Source organism: Homo sapiens, chromosome 3 (genome assembly GCF_000001405.40).
Source record: "Homo sapiens chromosome 3, GRCh38.p14 Primary Assembly".
Taxonomy (NCBI): Eukaryota; Metazoa; Chordata; class Mammalia; order Primates; family Hominidae; genus Homo; species Homo sapiens.
In genome coordinates, this window is record NC_000003.12 from 55,143,271 (window position 1) to 55,168,043 (window position 24,773).

The 24,773-nt window shown below is 41.7% G+C and overlaps 1 long non-coding RNA gene across 1 annotated transcript in view, besides 2 other annotated features; it reads right to left on the reverse strand.

Annotated features, from left to right (window-relative positions):
* Positions 1-537: 537 nt before the first annotated feature.
* LOC124906243 (uncharacterized) overlaps positions 538-24,773 on the reverse strand; it is a 207,146-nt gene continuing 182,910 nt past the window's right edge. The window contains exon 3 of the long non-coding RNA XR_007095917.1: positions 538-652. This is a non-coding gene — a long non-coding RNA (uncharacterized LOC124906243). The remainder of the gene's footprint in view (positions 653-24,773) is intronic.
* Positions 5,747-5,911: a silencer, noted in NCBI's record as "fragment chr3:55183044-55183208 (GRCh37/hg19 assembly coordinates)". NCBI's record gives its function as "represses an EF-1alpha promoter that drives an FKBP-Casp9 reporter gene in an ReSE screen in K562 erythroleukemia cells {active_cell/tissue: K562}" and the evidence as "EXISTENCE:reporter gene assay evidence [ECO:0000049][PMID:32094911]".
* Positions 16,903-18,102: an enhancer, noted in NCBI's record as "BRD4-independent group 4 enhancer chr3:55194201-55195400 (GRCh37/hg19 assembly coordinates)". NCBI's record gives its function as "activates an origin of replication core promoter dependent on BRD2, P300/CBP, MED14 and CDK7 cofactors, and independent of BRD4, by STARR-seq in HCT116 cells {active_cell/tissue: HCT116}" and the evidence as "EXISTENCE:reporter gene assay evidence [ECO:0000049][PMID:35650434]".

Consider the following 24,773-nt stretch of genomic DNA (forward strand, 5'->3'; position numbering starts at 1 on the left):
ATAGAGTCAAGTATTTGGGATAACCAAGCAAAATAACCCAGCCCTTGGTCTGATTCATTATAACACAGAAACATAGTCCAGGAACAAGTTCTTTTCCCCTCCATGCAGGTACAGCTACAGTCTGATTGGTTCAGAGGAGAGCAGATTCTAGCCATGAACGAATGGGGCTGTGGTTGCTCATCTCTAATTAGATTTGGCTTCAGAAGCCAGGACCCTGACAAGAGCTTCTATAATCAATTTCCAGGGACAGCCCTGGGGCCGTTGGAGCCACAAGCATAAGGAATGCTGGCTATTTGTGTTCTACCCAAAAGGTCACATTCATGCCTCTTCTTCCCAGACAAGCATGGCAGGTACCAGCTTTCAGAGTCCTGCTGGACAGCCAAACAAATTTCTCCCTTTTTCCCTTTAATGACTTCTAAATACAAGTCCAATTTTTAGTTGACCCATATCCATTAACCAAATGATTAACACAGAGTAGAGAAGACAACAAGAAGAAAATATGCTTTGTCTTCAAAGTATGTTTGAACATTTCATGTTCCTGTGCCTTCAGGGTTTCTTTTGGATGGTGTGACCAGATTATGGGTGACATGTCTTAGGATCTTAGGTTCAGAGGATGCCATGGACATCAATCTTCCATCCCTTTAAATGGATTCTGCCAAGAAGACAAGATTGGATTAAAATACTTTACAAAATTTTCCGAGTATGTGTTTTGCCATGGACATCAAACTAAACAATGGAAACAGTGATCCAGGTAATTTGACGTGAAGTTCTTTTCATTCTTCGCCGTTTGTGTAGATGTGAGCATTGCATTACCCCTTACATTCTAATCTAATAACGTCAGTCTGGAAATCATAAGAGCTTCCCACATCCTCTGTAGCTGCTCTGATGAAATTCAGGAGGGTGGGAATAAAAAAATCTCACTTCCTGGATCAAAATCTACCCTCCAGAGCCAGAATACATCTCCTTGTAGATTGAATATCTCAGCATATGTCTGTGGCTTTTGCAAGATGTGTACAAACCTGACCCACTATAGGACTGGATTAGGCAGAAGCACTGTTTGTCAGATGACATCTCCGAGAGCCTTCCTAAGGCTAAGTGTTTAAACTAAGGGACAGTAGAGGAAACTGAGGGTGGTCTTCCTAGGCATGAGTCAGCTTTGTGGTGATCTAATTGGTGTTCCTAGGGATATGAGGTGGTCCAACCAAATTGATCTAGACAGTCTTTTCCCACTGGCAAAAGCACAAAAACTAGATGACATAATTCACAGGATAGGAAATTAGGAGCAGATAGAAAACGCACACCAGACTACTGTATTCCTTCCAAAGGGAATGCACATATTGAATAGATTACTAAGGAGGATCCTCGAAGTTGGCAGAGTCAATTCATTCAAGAGATAGCAGCAGAGGACTGGAGAAGATGATGGCCAGAGCAGAAAGGCAAGGAACTTAACGAGTGGAATATGACCAGGGCTCATTTGTTTCTCTCCTTGACTTTCTGTCTCCACTGTATGTTTGGTAATACTGTAATTCAACATTGACATGTAGGTTAATGCAGCTTGCTGTCTGAACATCCAACACTGGGCTAATGTCTTAATTATTTTCCATTGCCTGTGACAGATTTTTTTTTCCAAAAACTTGAATGAAAGAAATTAAGTTGAAGCAAATTACTTGTAACCACCCAGAAATTTGGGCTTATGGAAACACTTCAGAGAAAAGTGGCAAGAGTAGGTTTTGTCTTTGTCTGTCAAGTCCCAGCACTTTTCTAGTGCAGTGGGGAACTGTTCCCTTCCCTTTTGAACCAGGAAAAAATATATGTTTTTGGAGCTTCATGACTACACCACACTGGCCAAAATTTACTCAGCAGTGTCCACAGGCAGCCATGTCTTTCAACACATCCTCTTTTCCCCTTCTTTGCAGAAACATTGGAAAAACTATAGATAGCCTTGTAATAGAGACTTTTTTTTCTTGAAAGTAAGGATGACAGATGTAGCATTTCCGCAACTACCCCACACCAGTGGAAGACAAAGTGAGAATGACATCCATTGCACAGCTGGAATTGTGAGCACTTGAATTTCCCATAAGGATCCAAGCATTGCTTGCTGCTGGGAGGGCTGTGACACCAGGCGAGCATGATCGAAATTCCCCAAATTGTCTCCTTTGAGATTAGCTCAAGTGCGGATGCAACAGAAGCTTATCCTGATGTGTGTGGGTGAAAACTTATGCCTGGGGGACACCTACTCTCTGGTGTTGTTCCTAAGGAGCATATAACCATAAAAGAGGGGAAGCAAAGGAACTGTGATTTCCAAGTCCTTCAATTCTTCAACAAACCATGTTGGGTTGATCGCAATGGCTCTGTGAATCCTCTTTTACTTCCTGAATTGCTTCCAGAGCATGGCACGGAGGAGTGGATTGTGGCTCAGATCTGGAATGGCAAAATATTAATATGTGGACTCGACCAGTAGACTAATCCTGGTTCCATCTGAGAGAGTGCTCTTTTTTGATTCACTGCAGCTGGAGGGCTCACAGGGGAGAGAGGTGTGATAGAGCCTCATTGTCTCTTTGGAGCCAATGCCTAGCCTGGGAGGTATTAGCACGTTGTGGTTAAAACTGAGCTAGTGTCAAGCCAACTAGGATTCTCATGTGCTCAGAAAAAAGAGAACCCTGGACAAATAATCACTTTAAGATTGGTTCCCTATTTATAAAATGAGGGTGTTAACTACCTCATAGGATTGTTCTTAACGTTAAAAGAGATCATTCTTAAGTGCCCAATTCATTACTTGACACAGTAATCGCTCAAAAGTTCTCTTGATTATCACCAAACCAGAAACCTGGAGAAGAAGCTGGGCTTTTGAATGAGCAACTCTACATTGCTCAAGCCTATGGGAATCAGATATTTTGAGCCCAATAGGGATGCCTATGTTTTGATACTGGGAAGGTTTTCTAAAGTCAGGACGATTTGTACAGGATGGGTTCCATAAATAGAGTCTAATATTTGGAGGCATGAGGTGCACAAGTTGCAGGTGATATTTTTCAAAAGAATCAGTGGTGCAGTCCAGGGCATGATTTGTAGCCTGTCAGTTGTAAGAAGCTACAGAGTGTCCCGAGTGGAGTCTCTGATAAGAGAGTGTAGTTAGAGGCTCATGAACATGATTAAGCACCTTCCACTTACTCTCAATAGAGACTTAATTAAATACGATGTTTATTTCCTTGACCACCTTTGCCAAAGCTGCAGAGATTCTGAATTGTTATTGCTGCAATTATTAGCAAGAATAAATGATTCTAAGAATGATGTTAGGCATTAAATTCGCACTTGCAGAAGCTAAAAAAAAAAAAAAACTATTACAACGCAGACATTAGTTTTTCTCCCATCTTCCTGAACTGGTGGTGGAGGCCAACTATTAATAGCTGTACCTCAACTGTATAAAAAATCCTCTCTCTATTCTATCCACCCTGTAACGAAAAGAAATCCTCCTACAATATTAGAATAATATAAAGAGGATGAACAGCATTATGCCAAAAGTGAGGTGGTAGCCTAGAGTCATTACTGTTTATCTCTGTTTCAAATTTTCCATAATGAAATTTTGGGGAGGAAAAGCTGTGGATCACAAAGATGTTCATTTAAACCCTCTGTGTGCTATTTTTTGTTATTTAATTTTTGTGTCTTAGGTTTTGCATCTGTACAATGGAGGAAGTAACACTCCTCACCTTGTGAGGATGACATGAGACCACAAAGATATTAGAAGTGCTTGATACAATGCCTGGCACATGGAAATGTGGTCTGTAAATGGTAATCATTATCATGTTTCAATTTATTATAATTATTAATTTACTTGAAGAAACAAATCTAAATGAACAAAATTGGAAAATAAATGCACTTTAAAATGTCAAAATAAGAATACATTAGGATGTAAAATGGGAAAACATTTTATTCTCTGAAACGTAAATGAGGGATGGCTTATTCAACATGGATAGTTTTACTCCTATACGATGGTGGGCAATTAACCCAGCCTTTCCCCATGAGTAAGCTCATCTGATCCTTCCCATTGGAGTAGGTCTGATGGGCACCACTTTCTCAATCCGCAGGGGAAGAAACTGAGCTCAGAGAGGTGAAGATTAGTTCAAAAATTAGAATGGGGAATACAATCCAATGCTTTTCCCCCAGACATTTTATGCAGAATTCCAGGGGGCCGGTGGGGTCCATTGTGAAATGTATGTCCTACTGCAAGGGGACCGGGGAGCTACAGTCCAGCACTTAGGCAGGGCTGCATTTCCTGGGAGGCAGACAACTTTCCTTAGCTGAAACCGACTCTTCAGATGTCAAGCCACATGTTCAAAGTGCTGAATCCACCCAGAGGGTGCCTTTTGCTAATTCAGACCAGGGAATGCTGTTGGCTAGCTGGGTCCTCAGCCAGTCTGTGCCCCACACTTTAGTTCCAAGGTTCCTCTTGTGGAGCAAGCAGGAAGAAATTTACTTTTTTTTTTTTTTTTTAAATAGCAATACAACTTTTCCTTTTTATTTTTTTCTTCTTGTTTTCCCTTGGGATACAAAATGGTGATGCAGGTTTCATGATTATATATATATGTGTGTGTGTGTGTGTGTGTGTGTGTGTATAATTTTTACATCCTGTCTTTAAATATTTTTATTAGGTTTTATCTAATATGAAATGCTTCTCCTATCAATTAGGGTACTTAAAAGATTCATTTTCCATCCACATGGTTCTTCATTATTTACAATTCTCTATGACTTGAGCTTATTTGAAAACTTTATCTCACTTCTCAGACCAACATCCAAGTTGTTTCTATAAATAAAAAGCCTGAGTCACTTAATTTTGCAGACTCCTCTACATGAAGTTAAATGGAATAATCTGAAGTTTTCTGGTATTAATCCATGATTTTATTTTAAATAGTAGTATTACATTGCCATCTTATTTTAATTTTTTTTACTGTTCCGGGATCACTCTTGAAATGAGCAAGGTTATCATAATAAATGATAACTCTTAAGAATGCTAAGGCTTCTCTAATTTCTGCTTATTTTTATGAACACTGGGGCAGTACTGTTTGGTTTTCCCAACCTTATCATTTCAAACCAGCTAAAGCCGCAATAGGCTATTTGCGATCCTGAGTGATGAAGCCAGGCATCCCGGAGCCTGGCGGGTCTTGACTTGGCCAGGAATGGAGTTATTCTACACTGAGCTTTGCTCTTGTTGAAGGATGTTGATGTAAGTCAGAATTCTCTTAGAAAAAAGCATGAAGTAGCATTCCCACTCTGTAAATGTACTTTCTCTTTCAAGGATCTGAGAGTCTGACGAGGGAGCTCGAGTGCGTTAGAGGTGAACTCACCAAAAGGGTTTGTGAAAACGTAAAGTGCAGAGACTGGACTGGGTTTTATCCACTGTTGCATTCCCCTCCCTACTCAGCATGGAACTCTGCAATAATAAAAATGCAATTAATGTCTTCTGAGTTGAATTCAAATAGCTACATAATAGCCAATAGAATATAACAACAACCACAAAACGCTTGGGAAAGAATTAGGGGGACAGAACATAGCTTTTAGGGGAAAACACCATTTGCCTATCTCTTCATTCATTCATCCATTCATTAATTTCTTGCTTTGTATCTGAAAAGTTTTAAGGCAATGATGATGAAAGACTTGAAGGAGGTAGCACATGAGCTAGGATCTGCAGAATCGGTAAGATTTGGGGTAAAGAGGTAAGAAAGAAAGGGCAGGGGGAACTGCATTTGAAGAGGCAGAGGCTGCATTTTGCAGGCTGGGCTTGAGGAAGTGTGAGAGATGTCCTTTGGCTGGAGATTGGAGGCCATAGAAGGAAGCAGTGAACAGAGTTTGGAAAAGGAGGCTGAAGCCAGTCACAGCAGCCCTTGTACGTGGTGCCACCCCAGGGAACTGATGATGAGTAAGGGGTACAGCACAGTCTACTAGACTCAGTGGTCAGGCAGTCCTAGGTGCAAATGGCAGCTCTGGAGACATAATATCACTTTTCTGACTCTTGATGCATTTGTAAAATAGGGTGCTAGTAAAGATGCGAGAGCATCGTGTGGGTTAAAGTTGGGTGCCATAGACAGTGATGCCAGTCACTGGATGCTCGTTAAGCATGAGTTTCCTGTTGTTCCTGACCCTAAGCAACTCTGATCAATATAATTGTGTTCTTAAATACATACAAGCTGTTTATTAAATACATAAAAGGTGCATGTTAAAAATACGTCTTAGATATGTTTCTACATAGCAAAATATTTTATTTAATTTCTTACAACTACAACATGCAGTTGGTTATTCTCAGAGCTTTCTGGTTATTTCTTGATTAGTGGTATTATGTTTCTTTTCTTAGCAAACTCCTTGCTTTTCTGTTGTTTGTCCTGCACCTGTGATCTTCCAAATTTATCAATCTGATCCATGTATGCTCACCCATCCCAATGCCTTCTACACAGCCTCCCTGAACATGTACAAACTTTTTCACACATGTCAGTTTCATTTTAAATTGACTACTTATGTCTTCAGATAGAAAAGCTACAGGTACGCTTTGACTACTTACGCCTTCAGCTAGAAAAGCTACATGTAAGCATTACTTCCATGAAAATTCAGTGGGCAAAAGGAGAAACTGTCTTTGTTACATGGGTGCATTTTAACTTACATTTTAGCATTTCACTTTTTCTGAAGAGTGAAACTCAGGCCCAGTACAAAGTTTTATCCACAGTGACAAGTGTAATATTTATTTTTGTATTTCCCTACATTCAATTTATTGCTAAATGGAAGATGCTTATTTAATTGGTCACATGATAATGGCATAAATGTTAAATGCTTTGTAAGTATTTTAACCATTTATATAATCTTAATCAACAGCTGTGACTGTGGTGCTTTTATCAATATTTTGATTATTTTATTTTCAGACACATAGCAAGGCTGAACTTCCCTGCTTCCTAGAAGTTAGTAAAGCCAGAGGATTTGCTTTGACCAATGAAACATGAGTGGAAATGATGTATGTTGCTTATAGCTGGAAGCCTTTAAGAGTCAGGGAGTACAGTCGTCCTTCGGCATCCACAGAGGATTGGTTCCAGAAACCCCTGCTGATACCAAAATCCATGAATGCTCAAGGTGCTTATATAAAATGGGGTTGTATTTGCATATAAACTATGCATATCCTCCCAAATATTTAAAATCAACTCTAGATTACCTATAATACCTAATACAATGTAAATGGTATGTAAGTAGTTCTTATCTTATATTATATTATATTATTTATTTATTTATTTGAGACAGAGTCTTACTCTGTCACCCAGGCTGGAATACAGTGGTGGGATCTCAGCTCATTGCAACCTCCACCTCCCAGGTTCAAGCGATTCTCCTGCCTCAGCCTCCCTAGTAGCTGGGATTACAGGCATGCACCACCACGCCTGGCTCATTTTTGTATTTTTAGTAGAGACAGGGTTTCACCATGTTGGCCAGGCTGGTGTCAAACTCCTGACCTCAGGTGATCTGCCCATCTCGGCCTCCCAAAGTGCTGGGATTACAGGTGTGAGCCACTGTGCCCAGCCTATATTATTTTAAAATTTGTATTATTTCCATTGTTGTTATTATTTTTTAATATTTTCCATCTGTGGTTGGTTGAGTTGGTGGATGTGGAACCCGTAGATACAGAGGGCTGACTGTAATTTGCCAAATCTCCTTCCCCTGGTGAGGTGACGGGTGAAGCTCCAGATGGCAGAAGCTCCAATGGCCTGTGTTATTTTCATGGGCGGGACCCCCAGCCACACCAAGGAGGACATATAGCTTGAGTGAGGAGTAAACCTGTGTTTTGTTGTTGCTTAATTTCTTTTGTGAGATATTTATACACTCATATGCAAGGAGATCCTATTACTTTTTATCCAGTTTTCCCCAGTGATAACATCTTGCATAACTATAATACAATAAGCAGAAAATAGACATTGATAAAATCCACTGACTTTATTCAGATGCCACCAGTTTTACATGTGCTCCTTTGTGCATGTGTGCTTGTGTGTACTTAGTTCCCCGAAATGTTATCACATGTGTGATAAAGAGCAGAGCAGTCCCCGCACAGGATCTCAAGTGCTACCCTTTAGTAATCACAGTCACCTCCCTCCCTTCCTCCCTCTCCCTGACTCCTGGCAACAACTAATCTGTTCTCCATATCTACGTGTTTGCCATTTCAAGAACAGATCAATAGAATCATACAGTATGTGACCTTGAAATTTTTTATTGTAGTAAAATATATACAACATAAAATTTGCCATTCTAACAACTTTTTTTTTGAGGTGGGGTTTCACTCTTGTTGCCCAGGCTGGAGTGCAAATGGCATGATCTCGGCTCACTGCTACCTCCACCACCCAGCTTTGAGCAATTCTCCTGCCTCAGCCTCGGAAATATCTGAGATTACAGGTGCCTGCCACCACGCCCAGCTAATTTTTTGTATTTTTAGTAGAGACGGGATTTCACTATGTTGGCCAGGCTGGTCTCAAACTCCTGACCTTAGGTGATCTACCTGCCTCAGTCTCCCAAAGTGCTGGGATTACTGGCATGAGCCACCATGCCTGGCCATCATTCTAACCATTTTTAAGCGTATTATTCAGTGGCATTAATTACATTCACAATGTTGTGCAAAAAAAATATGTAACCTTTTTTCCACTTGGCACAATTCCCTTGAGATATATTGAAGTTGTCGTGTGTATAGATAGTTGATCCCTTTTTCTTGTTTAGTAGTGTTCCATGGTATAGATACACCACAGTTTGTTTAACCATCTACCCATTGAAAGACATTTGAGTTGTTTCCAGTTTAGGGCTATTATGAATGGAGCTGCTATGAACATTTATGCACAGAATTTTGCATGAATATAAGTTTTCACTTCCCTGGGATAAATGCCCAAGAGTGCAATTGCTGGGTCATATGGTAAGCACGTGTTTAGTTTAGTAAGAAATTGCCTTGCGGTGCCATTTTACATTCCCAACAGAAGCTTTGTTGTTTGAACCCCCAAATTTTGGGGTTATTTGTTACTGTAGCATAACCTAGCCTGACTAATATATTACTAGATCATGTTCTTTGCAAGGTCAATATCTAATCACATTTAATTTCAATTATAAAATAAGAGTGCCTTAATGAGATTTTCTTTTATTCATTTACTCATTTACTCGTTTATTCAATGAATGAGTTGTTTATTAAATACATACTATTCTTGGGAACATGCTATGTGCTGAGGATACAATAGTGGCAAAAACACTTTTGATAGAGCTCAGTGTCTACCAGGAAAAGAGGATGAAATGGAGACAAAGAAAGCAGAAGACAAAACAAGGGAAGTGGTGCTACACAGGAGCAGCACACAACACCATGATGGCATTACAGCGGCACCGATGGAGGGGCCAGGTTGGGAAGACAGGGTTTTGGCCGGCAAAGGAGTTTCCTGAGTAGATGATGGCTGAGCTGAAATCTTAAGGTGAGTTAGCTAGGTAGAGGAGGCAGGTGAGGAGGTGAAGGCAGAGGGAGCATCCTAGACAGATGGAATACCTGATAAATGCTTTTTGGGGTCCAGAGTCTGGATAATTCATGAATATAAGGACGAAGGTGGCTGGAGCAGTGAGAACATGCATCGGAGAGGGGTAAGAGCAGACCAGTGACCTGCAAAAGTCAGAGTGCCCAGGACCACAGAGGCCACACTGGAGATATGGAGCTTGAGGGTCAGAGCAATAGGAATCTCTGAAGAGTTTAGAGCAATGGGAATCTCTGAAGAATTTTAAGCAATGAGGGTAATGTAGGCATATGTGAGCTTTTAAAATGTCACTCTGGTTATTGTGTGGAGAACAGATGTATGGGAGGCCAGTGTGGATGCATAGAAATGGCAAGTGTCTGAAATTACAGGATGCCATAAAGACAGAAGGGAGATCAGTATGGAATTCTCTCACAGCTCCTCTCCTCAAAATGAATCCCACCCTCCAGGCATGTAATATAATAGATAATAAATCTAGAATGTAATAGGATAAAAATAAGATGATAATGAACAGGAGATGATCCAGGGAGAGAGAAAATGCCTTATGGAATAGACCTGGGTCTGTTGCTAAGTACACTGAGCATGAACAAAAAAAAAAAAAAAACGTGGAGTCTGGGAGAGGCATGTAAAATAATAGTAGGATCGCGATGAACAACTGATCTTAGGTGGAAGGGATTTAATAGACCCGATACTCATCCTATACACTGTAGAGCACATAGTGAGTATTGTGGACCGAATGCTGTGTACCCCCCAGACTCTTACGTTGAAATCTTATGCCCTAATGTGATGTTAAGAGGTGGGGTCTTTGGGAGGTAATTAGGACTAGATGAAGTCATGAGGGTTGAGGCCCCATGAATGAGATTACTGTCCTTATAAGAGTTCCGAGAGAGCTTACTTCCTCCCTTCCATTAGGTGAGGACACAGCAAGAAAGTGCCATATATTAACCAGAAAGTGGGCATGAAATTAAAACTGCCAGTGCCTTGACCTTGGACTTCTCAGCTCCCAGATCTGTGAGAAATAAAGTTATGTTGTTTCAAAGCTATCCAGTTTGTAATTTAAAAAAAAAAAGCACACTCAAGCTGACTAAGACAATGAGTTGAATATGAAGAAATAGAAAATATGAATGTCTGGATGTGTTTGTGTGGGAAAGGTGGCCTTATGTCCCCCTTATTCAATGAACTTACTTTATCAATTGCTTTCTTTTTGGTGTTTCTCATGGAAATGTCAAGGATCAGGTATATTCTCTCTGGGATTCTATGTTATTTCTCCCTCAGAATGCTTAACAAAGCCTAAGCAAGTCTCTTTTTTATCAAAGCTCAGGAAAAATACTGGGATGATAACACCCAGTGCTTGGGTGTCTTAAAGGAAGAAGAAAAAGAAGATGATGCCTGAGAAGTTTGCCACCTGCAGCTTGGCACTTCCTCATCCTAAAATTTGGCTGCTAATTTCTGCTGATGCTCATGGAAAATTTCCCAAAGACCCTGCTCCTGAATGAATTGAAAGCCTTTGAGTTGAGTTTGTATTCCTTAACCTGTACCCTGTAAAAGACGGTAGCCAAGTAATGGAACTGTAGTTAATAAAACAGGAGACAGTCTCTCTTCTGGATAGATGGAAGACATTCCTGTTTGCCTCCAAAATAAGCCTCTTTTCCCATCACTGCCCTTGGAGGTTTGACAGTTCATGCCCAGCACGCCTCTCAGTAAGCACCGAGAGCAGAAGAAGATAATCACTTGGCGGGAATTGTGCAGACTGCAATTCTCTCTTCAAGGAACAATTTGCCAGGGGAGCTGCCCATGCTGGTCACATTTTGTTAGTTTCTACCCACCAAGCAGCCGCTTGTGACAAAGAAGCTCCTGTCCTTCACTGGATTTGGTTTCAGGCAAATGAAATGATGCCTTGCCACTCTCTGGCAGACAGAAGTAGTTTCTCAAGATAGAAATTCAGGCTGTAGAAATGGATTTAGAGGATTTAGGGTATGGGGTGTGTGTTGGGCTTTTGAGTGTGAGATGGAGCATGAAGGGTGTAAGAATGTGCGGACACTCAGGGCATTGAAGCCACTTGGAGCTCTGAGACCTGAGTATCTTGACTCTAGGAACATCTGGCATTTCTTACCCACTCATTCAACAATGTTTACTGAGTATCTACAACGTGAGCCAGACACTTTTCCAAACAAAAGAGACAAAAACTGTACCCTCACGTAGCTTGCATTATACAAGGGAAAGAAAGATAACCAAATAGTATAATATACAAGTAACTTTCTACACTATACTAGGAGGTGAGAAACACTACGGAAAAAAGAAAACATAGTACAGAGTGAGTAGAAGAGGGGTGTTGGCAGGTGGGCAAGTGGTGGCATGAGGAAGATGGTTTCAGCAAACCTCACTGAGACTTGGAAGGGTGATGAATTAGCCAAGTAGCATTTGCAGGAAAAACACTGTAGGCAGAGAGAAGTGCTAGAGCCAATATTCGAAGGTGGGAGCCTGCCTGGCATGTTCACTTGAATAGCAAGGAGGACAGGGAGTAATGGGAGGAGTATCAAGACATAAAGTCAGAGGACAAGTGGACCCCAAATCATGCCAGGCCTTGGAAAGAATCTGGCTTTTCCTTGTAGTGAAACTGGGAATCATTGGAGGGTCACAATCTGATAAAATATGTATCCTGAGGTCAGGCGCGGTGGGTCTTGCCTGTAATCCCAGCATTTTGGGAGGCCGAGGGGTGCAGATCATTTGAGGTCAGGGGTTCAATATCAGCCTGGCCAGCATGGTGAAACCCCATCTCTACCAAAATACAAAAAATAGCCGGGTGTCGTGGTGCGTGCCTGTAGTCTCAGCTACTCTAGTTTATACAGATTCTGGAATTCTCTCACACCTCCCCTCCTGGAAACAAACACTCCAGCCTGGGCAACAGAGTGACACTATATCCCAAAAAATAAATTATATATATATACTATGTATTTTATGTTGTTTTCTTGAGACCATTCCATCGGGCATGAGCAGAAGCAGCACAGAGCTCTATTGGGAGGGTATAGCTCTAACCTAGGAATGAGGTGAGCATGGATTGGACTGGAATTGTAGCCAGGGAAGTGGTGAGAAATGGCTGAATTCTGGATATATTTTGAAGATAAAGTCAGCAGGATTTTTTATGGGTTGGATGTAGGAGAAAAGAAGTAGAATGTAGAAGACTGTAAGGATTTTGGCCGGAGCCGCTGGAATGAGGGCACTGCCATCAATTGAGCTGGGAAAGGCAGCAGGTAGAGCAGCTTTTTCGGAAAGATAAAGAGTAAGTATTGGACATATTGAACTTGTGAAGTCTATTAGACTTCCAGGTGGAGGCAGTGGATATATAAGTTTGGAGTTTGGGAGAGAAATCTGGTCTCGTGAAATTGGGGGTCGGTGGCATATAGTTGACGTGAGACCATCAAGAGTATAGAGGCAGAAGAGGTGAAGACCAAGGGCTGAGCCCAGGGCACTCCAACATTAAGAGCCAAAGGAGATAACACATGGCAGAACACATGTTGCATCTGCACGACACAGCGTCAGTGTTCAATGAATATGACCTAGGATGGCTATAATTATTAGAGTATTTATTATATCCATAATGACTGCTTGTTTCGTTATGATCTAAATTAGAAAACAGTGGTCTCAAATATATTTTTTTTCAGGAGTATCAAGAGTGACAATTCAGTTCCCCCAAATTCCTTGCTGTAGCGTAAATGGATAATTATTAAAATTAGGAGGAAGGTTAAGATTACCTAGAGTGTTCGCTAACCATTTATCAAATTTTTTAAGTGCAGCAGGCTCTGTGCTGGTCTGAGAAAGGGCACAGAGAAGATTGCTGTCCTCAGGGAGTGTACAGTCTAATGGGGAGACACAGAACTGTGTATTAAGTGTTCTGGATACAAAAAAGTACTTTCAGAATAAAAGAAAATAAAATTTAATTATGGGTTTATGGCTTAGGATAAGGTAAGTGCAGGTGGATATGGGCAGTTATTCATATGTATAGGTCAGTACATATGTGTGGTCACTTGCTTTTGGAACACATAATCACCTAAGGAATTTCAGGATCAGATGATGGAACTAATGGAAGCTGAATAGGGGTTGTAGAGACTGGGGTGGGAGCACAGGGGCAAGTTCAATGATGTGTCAGACTGAAAAAGTCTGGGAAACAATAGAAAAGAGTTTTCAAAGAAAAGACTCAGGTCCCACCCAATTGTCTTTGATGTTCTGCCAGCTTCCTTCAGAATCCCACACTCATTCACTTTGACCTGAACCTCTGGCTTTCACCAGGATGAGGAAAATACTTTGATCTACTTGAAAACGGGGTCTTGGAAAGGTGATGAGTTTCCAAGGGGGTTCTTGGCAGACAGTTCTTGTGGGCTGCCAACCACAAAGGCAATTTGGGGTCCTGCTGCTATTGGCCCCAGCAGTAGCACCTCGGTGTGGTCTGTATAGACTTGTGCATTATTCTCAAGCCCTGAATCAAAGGGAGAATTTGATATCAGGGGTGGAAAGCGGCATTCCCATTGGAAACTCTGATGTCACAGTCAAATGCGCTACCGTTCACAGTTGGGTTCCCCATTTGACAGCTGAGGCTTGAAACAGAATCCTTTTTGAAATGAGAAAAAAAGGAAAATGTTGGGCTGAATTTCAGGAAATGCCCTAATGATGAAATCTGGGAAATGGCAAACGTGTATAACCAGGGAAGTGGTATGCGTCCCAAAGCTTGAGTCATTCAAAACCATGTTGGCGATATCATTGGAAAAAAGTTGGGGGAGAAGGAGACTGTCTTGGTGGAAAATCTGTGAAGTCCCCCCACAGCGTTGTAGTGGCACTTTTCTGAGTATTTGACAGGAACTGGCTTCTAAATATGCCTTGCTTTCCTCTGCATCATGCACTATCTAGAGCATAAATAAGGCACGCACAAACTTTCCATTTCGCTCATGTCCCAGGCATCATTCTCTCTTCAAGTATTGAAAAAAATAGCTTCAAGAACACAATATGATAAATATGACAGATAAAAATAAAGTATAGTTAGTTACAGATCAATTTTACAAAGTCAGACACATGTATTATCTCAGTTAAACCACAGTTCATCCTCTTGGTGGGCATTCTCCGTTTGTGGGTGAGATCACTGAGATTTAATGAGGTTATGACTGGTCTGAACTTCTGACTTCCAAACCACTCTTGTGGTTATTCCTGCTCCACTCTACTCAGCCTCTCAAGAGAGTTAAGGGAGAAAAATCCCTCCACATTGATAAAAACTTATGAAATCTCATTAAATTATTAAAGGAAAATCTATAGTTTATTAGAAGGCAAAGGTACACCAACATGAACTCCATCAGCTACCAAAGTAATTTTTTTTGTTTGCCTTTAAACCTAATCTTTCTTCCTTGCTCTGGAATCCACATAAGATGAGGTCTTTGTTTGCTCTGAAACGAACATCCTTATAAATCTGTAATTCACACATTTTCCTGACTCTCCTTAGATCAACAATAACCTCTTTCCTCTGGTGCATCTTTAATTTTTCTCCAGTGGATGTTTCCTCTACTCTACAAAACTGTTCAAATCGTTTCTACCCCAAACTCACATTTGTTTCAACGTCCTTACCTTTCTCTCTTACATTCCTTTAACTTCTGAACTTCTTTACAATGAAGCACACACCACATTTCCCCATTATTTTCTCTTTAATGCCTTACAAACTAGCTTCTTCCCTATACTCTCCTGAGATGCTCATGGAAGGTATAATCAAACTAATGACCTCATCTTTGTTTGCTGCGCTGACTACCACAGCCTGTTTGACACATCCATCACTTGGTTTTAGAAACATAGTAACTGCCTAGTAGTCTTCCATTTTTTTTCCTCTATCCTCTCTTATAAATAGACATTTAATAATGTCCATTTCCCAGCAACATTATTGCTCTTAAAGACCCTTTCAGGACCATTTATCATTCCAAAGGCTTGACTTTCACTTCTAAAGGCATGATCCTCCAGTCTAAGTCTCTTGTCCTAAAAATTCTACTGAAATTTGGATATTTGCCTTTGAAATCCCCAGGAAAAAGACCAATCTGAAGGATTTACCAGCCACCTTTGATTCAATACAGCCCAAACTGAGACATTTTCCATGACCTGAACTTGGTAACACCATTTCAAAACTCCTGGTCTCCAGGTTCAAATCCTTAAGTCATCCTTGCTCCCTTCTCACTTCTCATGCCCAATAGCCCTATTCACTTCCCTATTCTGCCTCTGAAAGGTGCATGCATTCCTCCTTTTTGCTTGGCACTGTCCTACCCCAGATGCTCACCATTTCTCCCTAAGCTATTGCAACAGCCTCTTGATTGCTGATGATGACAGCAATGGCTAATATTTATAAGACTGTACCATGCCGAGGAACAGTGCTGAGCAGCCTGTGCACATCCACAGTCCTGTGAGTGAACCACTGCTGTGAGCCCTTCTTTCTAGTGGGGAGACTGTGGTCCAGAGGGTGAAATGTTTTTCTCAGGTCACACCATGTGCACAAAGTATAGCCATGACTCAAATACATTTCAGAGTCAATGCCTGAGCTTCTATTCCCAAGGCATATTGTCTCCCAATATAAATAACAAAATCCGAATCTTTCAGCCTGACCATCAAAACTCTGCAGAATATGGTCTTCTCCAACCTCCTCAACTTTATCTTCCAGTTTATTCCTTTAGTCTACTCTAGGCTACTACTGTTGCAAAAGATGATCCCTTTATCTACATTGTTTACCTCCTCTTCACATCGACATTTGAGGTTCATCTCAAAACACATATCCTCCAAGAAGACTTCACAGATATTCCCACTCAGAATCAGTCTCTCCCCATGTGCCTTGCATGTAGTTTGTTTCGGCACTGGAGCAATGATTTGCTGCATGGTAGTTACTTGAGTGTACATATATTCATCTCACCTGTTCATGTCTTGAATACAGGGCCCATGTGTTACACCTCTCTGTTATATTCATGCCCCCACCTCCCCACCATGCCAGTAGTGCCTGGCATGTGACGAGCCTTCAATACATTTTGGTAGAACTGAAGAGCAAGCTTGGGTATGGTTGGGGGTTGGATTATTAATAGTGTTTCCAAGTGGGAAGTGAGACTGTCACCCTGGCCAGTCTATTCCTGAGTTACCACAGATCCCAAAAGGTCTTTAGGCTTAATCATTCACAGAACACAGCCGGTATTAGGAGCAAGGCTCTCTTCCAATTAATAACTGAAGTCCAGTGTTCAACTTCCACAAAGCATTTACTCTATAATTGGTATTAATTCCTTCAGAAGTAATTTCCACTGTTCTTCAGCTCCCATCACCAACTAAACTTGAGTATCAATGGTGGTAAAAATAACAACGACAAAAGCTAACATTTACCAAACTTTACATTTATAAATCTCCATTTGATCTTCGAAACCACTTAATGCAGTAGAGACTACTATCATTCCCTTTTTCTGAATGAAAAGATTGAGGTTCAGAGGGGCTGAGGAACTTCCCAAGATCACTAAGCCAATAGGAAGTGATGAAGCCGGATGCAATCTGACACCCACACTCTTAACCACTGAGCCTCACCATCTCTCTAGAGGCCTGAAGTTAATAAATTTCAGTTTCCTCTCCTCTCCCCACATGACCAGAAGACTTGAGACACAGAAGCCTTGGTGCAGTGCTGCTGAGTGTTACCCCCCCCCCGCTTTGTTTTTGCTTGCCTGTGCACGGCCAGTTTTACAGCCGGGCTGCTTATGTGAAGACGTCCACTCACATCCTGGTCATCATTAATCCCCTCATTAAGCAACCCATGAGGAAGAAGCAGTGGGAACGGCCGTGGCTCTGCACAGGTTGGGCTCTGTTGGAGATGGGACGTGAAATCTTTGCACGCCACTGGCCATGAGTCATTGGAAGACTGAGCTGTGTCCCAGAGAGGATGACAGGAAACCGCAGGCTCTGGCTTCACTCTTGCGGTGACAGTCTTTGAGAGGCTGGATGACCATGGTGGTTCAGCTGTTCCCCGATGGCTGCCTCCCTACCAGTGCTGGGCTGTGTTTTTCTTGGCCAGTTGGAATGTGGAATGCTTCCTAGCTCAGTCAGTGCTGTGGAAGGAGACAAATCTACTTCCCAAGTCTCCACCCCCCTGCTCCAGCTACTACAATCATTTTGTACAACTCCTTCCTGCTGTTTGGAGACATATTTATGGGCAGTTGGGACACAGGGACTCTTCTCCTTGGCAACAGCTTCCCACCAAGCCAAGCAAACTTTGAAGTGGTCTTGGTTCCTGAGTGAGCAGAACATCTATCGTCCAGCAACATATGCCCTTTTGTTTGGCTCCCAGTTTCATGACCTCTGTGATATAAGATGGGACCTTCAACAACAAGCCCAAACAGGAGTCTCTCATTCTTGTGTTGACAAAACTTCTTTCTTGATTCATTTCTGTCCCACTTCATGCATGGATCACACTCACCATCTGAAAAATCTAGTATTCTGCCTTTTTCATTAAGAAAAAGAAAAGGTTTCATCATGCATTTAGCTGTTAGTATGTACATTGCACTGTGTGATGCCCAAAGAAGGGCAAAACACAGCCCTGATCATCTAGAACCTAGGGGAGACTTAAACAAATATGTGAAAAGCTGGAGAGAATTGCATTACTGTAAGAATGGCTGGAGTTTGGCCTTTAACCAAGTCCTGAATACAAGTCTTGTTTCTGCTGCTGAATAACTGGATGTCTCCTTATTCGCATCCATAAAACAGATGAACAAGCACCTCTGCCTCTCAGGGTTGCTTGTGAAGACTAAATGAGACAATGTCCTATCAAGCACTTGTCAGAGTCTCTCACATGTAATTAACACTCCGTACGTGGAAGCTGTGATTACTTCTCATATTTAGGATGTGGGGGTATGTACAGGGCATTGTCTACTTTATAAATGTCTCTTCTTCCAAAATGGAACTGGACAAAGTCAAGACAGAAAACAGTTTCAGATATCCATTCAAAGCAAGGATAGGTACTTAGCACTGAAGCAAAATCTTTGCTGAGATATCTATAGGAATTGGTAAATGTAAATCATTCAGGGGGTCTTTTTAAAACGTGGCCTGAGTTTATCCCCTTTTGGGTCAAAGACAGATGTCAGAAAGCTTCTTCTTTACCCAGCTTTGCAACCTCCCATCTGCCTTCAATTAGGCAAGCGGTCAGCCTCTCCACATTTAGGGTACACCAAGGCAAGGCCCTGAGTTACACTCTTGTCGCAAACCCACTAGGAATGACTTCACAGCTGGACACGGTTTGTCCCACAGAAATTCCAGACACAACATTGCCCAAAGCATTTAGGCCTTGCAGACCACGACATTATATTTTAACATGTCACTCATAATCCTGATTCTTCCTCTCTCCCTATCTGGAAACTCACGTTTGCCTCTCAGATTGCATCCTCTATGCTTTGAAAACACTGAGTGATAACCACACTGACTCATCTGTTCTGAGAGGAGGCTTGCTCTGGCCAGGCCAATTTGAACTCTGAGCCACAGGCCCTGACTTCTGAACCTTCTCTAATGAGTCTGTTTTGTGCCTTACATATTTTTACCCAAAGATAAGATCTGTTCTCATTTTCTCTAGATCTATTTATGCATCCCTAATAAGCAAGTTGTTATAAAAAAGCAAGTTTAGATGTAGTCTAAACACTTGAATGTGTAGCAGCTGCAAGATTACCTGTTTGAAGTCTGTTGATGAGACTTCTCCCAGGGAGGACATAGCAAAGGGAAAGGCATTCAAATCATGAGAAGAACATAGAGGTGGGGTTTTTGGTTTTAGTTTTGGTTTTATTCCAAGCCAAAAGACTAAGCTCAGAGAGCATAATATCTCCATTCCTCAAGGTCATGGCCAGGCCCAGATGTTTTTTGCTTTGTCCAACATTTGTAGGCTCCTCATTTCTGGCAGTAGGTGCATACAGTATAGACTTGACTTCCTTTGAATTTCCTGCCATTAATAAGGCCCAGGGTCAATATAAAATATGTATTGAATATCTAGTCACATTTTTTCAGGCAGCATTAAAATTCTTCTCTATGGAACATAATGTTTGATGTACTTGGAAAAGGCTACTTTGTTTTATAATATGTACCTCTGAGGAAGTCAAATATTTTTATTCCTTGATTCCTTCCCTCCCTCCCTTCCTTCCTTTCTTCCTTCCTTCCTTCCTTCCTTCCTTCTTTCCTTCTACTCTTCTATCCTTTCATCTATTCATTCATTTCTCCATTAACACATTTTTTCACATTTATGTCAAGTATCTACTGTGGGCCAAGCAGTGAGCTAAGTATTAGAGATAAAAATAAATCGAACATCCAACTTGATTTTTAATCTTGTAGGGGAGAGAAAGTTAAACTGGGAAAATGATGTAACCAAAGTATAAGTAAAGTTCACTGGGAGAGTCAATAAAGTTCACTGGGAGACCCATGGGGGAAGAATTTGCTTCTAGAATAATTAGAGCTGGGCTTGAAACTGGCTCTCTCCCTAACTAGCTGTGTAACCTTGGGCTTTACTTAACTCCTGTGAGCCTTGGTTTCCTCATCTTAAAATGGGGATTATAGTAGAATCTATTTCATTGGATTGTAGTGAGGATTCAGTGAATGAATGAGGTAATCATAAAAAGGGTTCAGTGCAGTACTTGACTTCTCTATGATTAGAATTAGTGATCCTGTCTAGGAAAACCTTACAGAAGAGGTAACATTGGTCTTAATCCTGAAGAATGAGTAGGGACTTGAAAAGGGGGAAGAACATTGCAAGTAGAGGGAAAACCATGTCTAGGCCTGGAGTCATGCATATGTGTGACGTGTTAGGCAGCAGATGGTCAGTGTGGTCAGACAGAGGGGATGTGTGGGATGGGAGTTGAGACTGGACAAGTAGGACAGCTGGAAAAGGACTATGTATTCGATGGTGAACTACATGCTTCAGACAGGAAACAATGGAACGTAGCATGGTAGTTCTCACTCCAGAAACCAGAGACTGAATCCTGGAAGGAGAGAGACGGATAAGAAGCAGTTTCTTAGCTGTCCATCGGCCTCCTAAGGTTCGCATAGAGCTTTCAGCTCTGTTGTCCATCCAGTAACCCTAAGATATTTTCCAGTTTAGGCTAAGGTATTTGGCAAAAGATTCGGGAGACCTCCTGCCTTCCTCTTCTTCTGCCACTGGCACACCCTCATGGTCCACTCTGATGGTGAAGGGCTGGGAAGTGGGAATTCTTGGGTCTCCTCATTCATCATCATGGCTGAGTCTAATGGGATAATGGTTGAACAAGAGGGTCTTCAAGGTTACCCCCAGTTCTGAGTCATGATTCCAAGTTACAGGGATTCACTTAACCTCATAAGATAAGTAATGGGCCCAAGGTCATACAGCCAGGGAGTATGACCAGCAGAACCAGGATTTGAGCCTAAGCTGCCTAGCTCTAGACTCTGTACTCTTAGTTTTTGCCTTACACTGTCTCTATTCTGTGCTCAACCATTTTGCCCAGGCCAATGATCACATTTCCCTACTTTCTGTTGTTCTCAAGTTTAGACTTAGAATTTAACTTGGGAGCAAGTGGGTTTTGTGGTCTGTTTAATTAAAATTCTAGAACACAGAGTTCTCAGCAGAGGTCTTGCTCTGGAAAGCATCCTGGGGGCTGGACCTTAAGCAAGGCATGGGAACACTTGCAACAAATTTTTCCCTGTACTGGCTGGCCTTTAGGAATGGGGCTCCTGGAGAGGAACTTGATTGGCCTCACTGCTCCTCTTGCCACATGTGGGGTGGCCAGATTCCATTATTTTGCAGCACAGGTGAGGATGAGGAAGTGTGCATGTGTGTGTATGTCTTGTGTTGTGTTTGGAGGATTGTCCATAATGGAAGTGCATAAACATCAATCAAGGCTTCTTTTTCTTTTTGGGTGTTCAAAGTGTGGAGGTGATATATCCTGTTCTAAATTGTGAATGGTATTTTCAAATACTTTAAAACAACGCTTATTATCAAAGGGCAGAAGAGATGTGCTTAAAGGTAATAACACCTTATTGGCTTAGAGGCACCTTGCTGGCTTTAAAATGCTTTCTTGGCCTGGAGTGTAAATGTTATTGGCTTTGAACTCACTCCCAAATTATACAAAGGTTTTGTCCCTCTCTTGACTGCCAAATGTTTGAGCCCCACTTCAGCAGTGTCTTGCTGAGAGGCCACACTGCCATAGGCCCTCAGACAGCTGTAAAATCTGACAGCCTGAGTGAGGGAATCCAAATCTGTTTCTTATTGAGTAGCCAAGATGGCTGGGTAACACCACAGCCAGCTGTAGATCACTTTTATGGACAGCAAGGGATGTGTCATCTCAGTAGCATCTGCACAAAGTATCTTCTTGGATGATTCCAGGCTGAGGAAGGGCCAGGTGTGGCTGTACATTTTTGTAAAACCCCTCACATGTGAACAAAGTCCACTGCTCAGCACATCCTGCGCTTTTCCAGCATCTCTTAGATAGTGAATTTGGTACCTCTTGATCATTGAAATTCAGGAATCAACTTAAAAGGTAACTTTCTGGTGCTAAAGCACATCTCTCTCCTTCTAATGCCGAATTCACTTCATTATCCAAGCCCTTTGGTCTCTGACTTACAGTAAATAATTATCCACAGCTGTTGCAAGTTGGTTTATCCTCCAATAAAGGTCAGGATGACTGACTAGACATCAGAGGAAAAACTTCTAAAATTTGGTGTTTAGACTAACTTACATCTATGTTTATCTCTTTTGTGTTTGTTGTAACTAAATAGGCGAGTGCGGTTTGTGGTTAAAGCATGACCAGGCAACCTGGATGTCATGGTTTTCTCTCTAGTTCTTTAATTTTGATGCATGTGGAATTCTCTCCTCCTTTGATGCCTCAATTTCCCCAGCTGTCACACATAGATCAGCATTCAAGGGTTCCTCTCATAGACTTCCTCGGGGGTGATGGGGAGAGTAATGGGGATCTGCTTGTCCATACTCTAAAAAACCAAATTCTAGAAACCAATTCTCTTTATAAGACCCAGGGAAGGCCAATCCACCTCCATTGCTTGACAGACTTCACCTAAAGCTGAAATAGTCACAAACTAAAGTTTGCTGGACCATGCAATGAAGCTGCAAGTACTCCCCAGGGGAGTTTACCTTCAACACCAGGAGGCCAAAGAAACAAAAAGGCCCCATGTCCCAGCAGGAAATGGGACACACTGGTGCATTTCCATTCACCAGGAAAACTAGAAGGAGAGGGAAACTTCTGCCACGCACATTTCCAGATGGGATTTGTGGGCTTGGCTCATGGTGGGGCCCACACAAGCTCTCCAGCTGTGTCCTGGGATCTCTAGGAAGAGGCCTAACAGCAGGATGAGGCAGGAGACGTACTTCCAGGGATAAAAATTTATTAGGATAAAACCTAATGCAAACACAATTTTCTCTGGAAACACCAACAAGAGGAGCAAAAGAATAAGCAAAGATGATTCCAAAGAAAATGAAAGCGATTGCGATTAATGGTTGGGGAGGAAGGGAGGAAACTACAGGCCAAGAACAAAGAACAAGAAACCTCTGAAGCTTGCTACAAAGGGAGCTCTTGACCCCCTAGTTGAAGTCATTATTATTTCATGCCTACTAGGGCTGCCAAACGGGCCTCTCTGAACTTGAGCTCTGCTTTTTTGAATAATACACTCCCATCATCATGTTGATTAGAGTACAGGCTAGGAGCATGGTATAAGGTAGAACCTTTTGGGATCAGACAGACCTGGAGCTGTATGAGTTATTTAACCTCACTGTGCCACAATTTCCTTGTCTGTACAATGGGGATATGATACTACCTGCCTTAAATGCAATCATGCTTGTGAGGTACCTAACACACTTATCCCTCAATAAACGATATTATTACTTCTCTTAGCACTATACTTCTTTCACACCACTTCCCTGCTTAAAACCCTTTCATGACTCCTCATAGCCCATGGCATGCATAAAGGGTGAGCAATTTTTTTACAGTCAATGGCTCCACCTTGCTTTCTGGACCAGAGCTGTCCAATAGAACTCTCCACAACAATGGAAATGTTTTCTATCTGTGCTTTCCACTCTGGCAGCTATCAAGTCCAGGTAGCTATAAAAAGCAGATAATATAATTGACGAACAGATATTTCAATTGTATTGAATTTTAATTCATTGAAATTTAAATAGCCACGTGTGGTAAGGGGCTATTATATTGGACAGCACAAGTCTTAGACTTTTATATCTGCTTCAGAAAGCCTCCACTCTAGCCAAATGGAGTTTTTCACTTCTTGTTTTTTTGCCTCTGAGTCTTCATGCCTGCAGAGTGCTGCATATGGCTGAGTGGTTTGTGCACTGGAAAAAAAAGAAAAAAGAAAAAAAGAGTGGTGAGGGTGGCCCAGAGAGCCAGAAAGTGGAAGCTGAAATTAAGCCAGCTCTTGCAGGAAGGACAAGGCATTTTTTTTCTAATTCACCCACCCAGAAGGGAACCTTGCTCTAAGGTGCCTTTAGGTTGGCAGTGTGCCACTGCACCACTCCTCCTTCTTATCCCCTCTCTGGATGAAGCCAGCTTGCCTTTTGGGACTAGCCCAAACTCCTGCTTGCTTACAAAGCTTCTCCTTCCTCTGACCTTCCAGAACTTTCTTTCCTCTGTGAGACGTGGCAGAGGCCAGTAGTTAAGAGTTCAGTATGTGAAGCCACGTGCCTAGCTGGAATCCCAGCTCTCTCACTTACTTGGTGTGTAACCTTGGACACCTTTCATCTCTCTAAGCCTCAGTGCTCTCAACTATAAAATGGGAATGACAACAATAGTGTTTCTCTCATAGAAAGGAACTAAAGAGTTCTAATAAGTACATGAAAATATGGTTAGGTTCATAGCATGGTGTCTGGCACAAAGTGAGCATGGATTGCATGTTTATATACTCATTCTTTCTTTCAATAAATATTTACTGAGCATCTACCATATGCCAGATGCTTTGTCAAGCTCTGGAGATCCAATAGTGACTAAACATGGATAAGATCCCTCTCTATCTGGAGGTGTATCTTAAATGATGACTCAAACTGCAGAGCTGCAGCTGGGACAAGGCCAAAGGGAAGATCCTTAGTGCTATGAGAGCCTGTTGTAGGTTTTATCTGACACAAGGAGTTCAAAGAAGGCTTTGCTGAGGATGGCATGTTTGAAGTGAGAAAGGAAGGAAGATAAATAGGTGTTGAGTAATTGAAGAGAAGAGAAAAGGGTGTTTCAGACAGAGGGAACAGCATATGAAAAGGCCTTTGCTTGG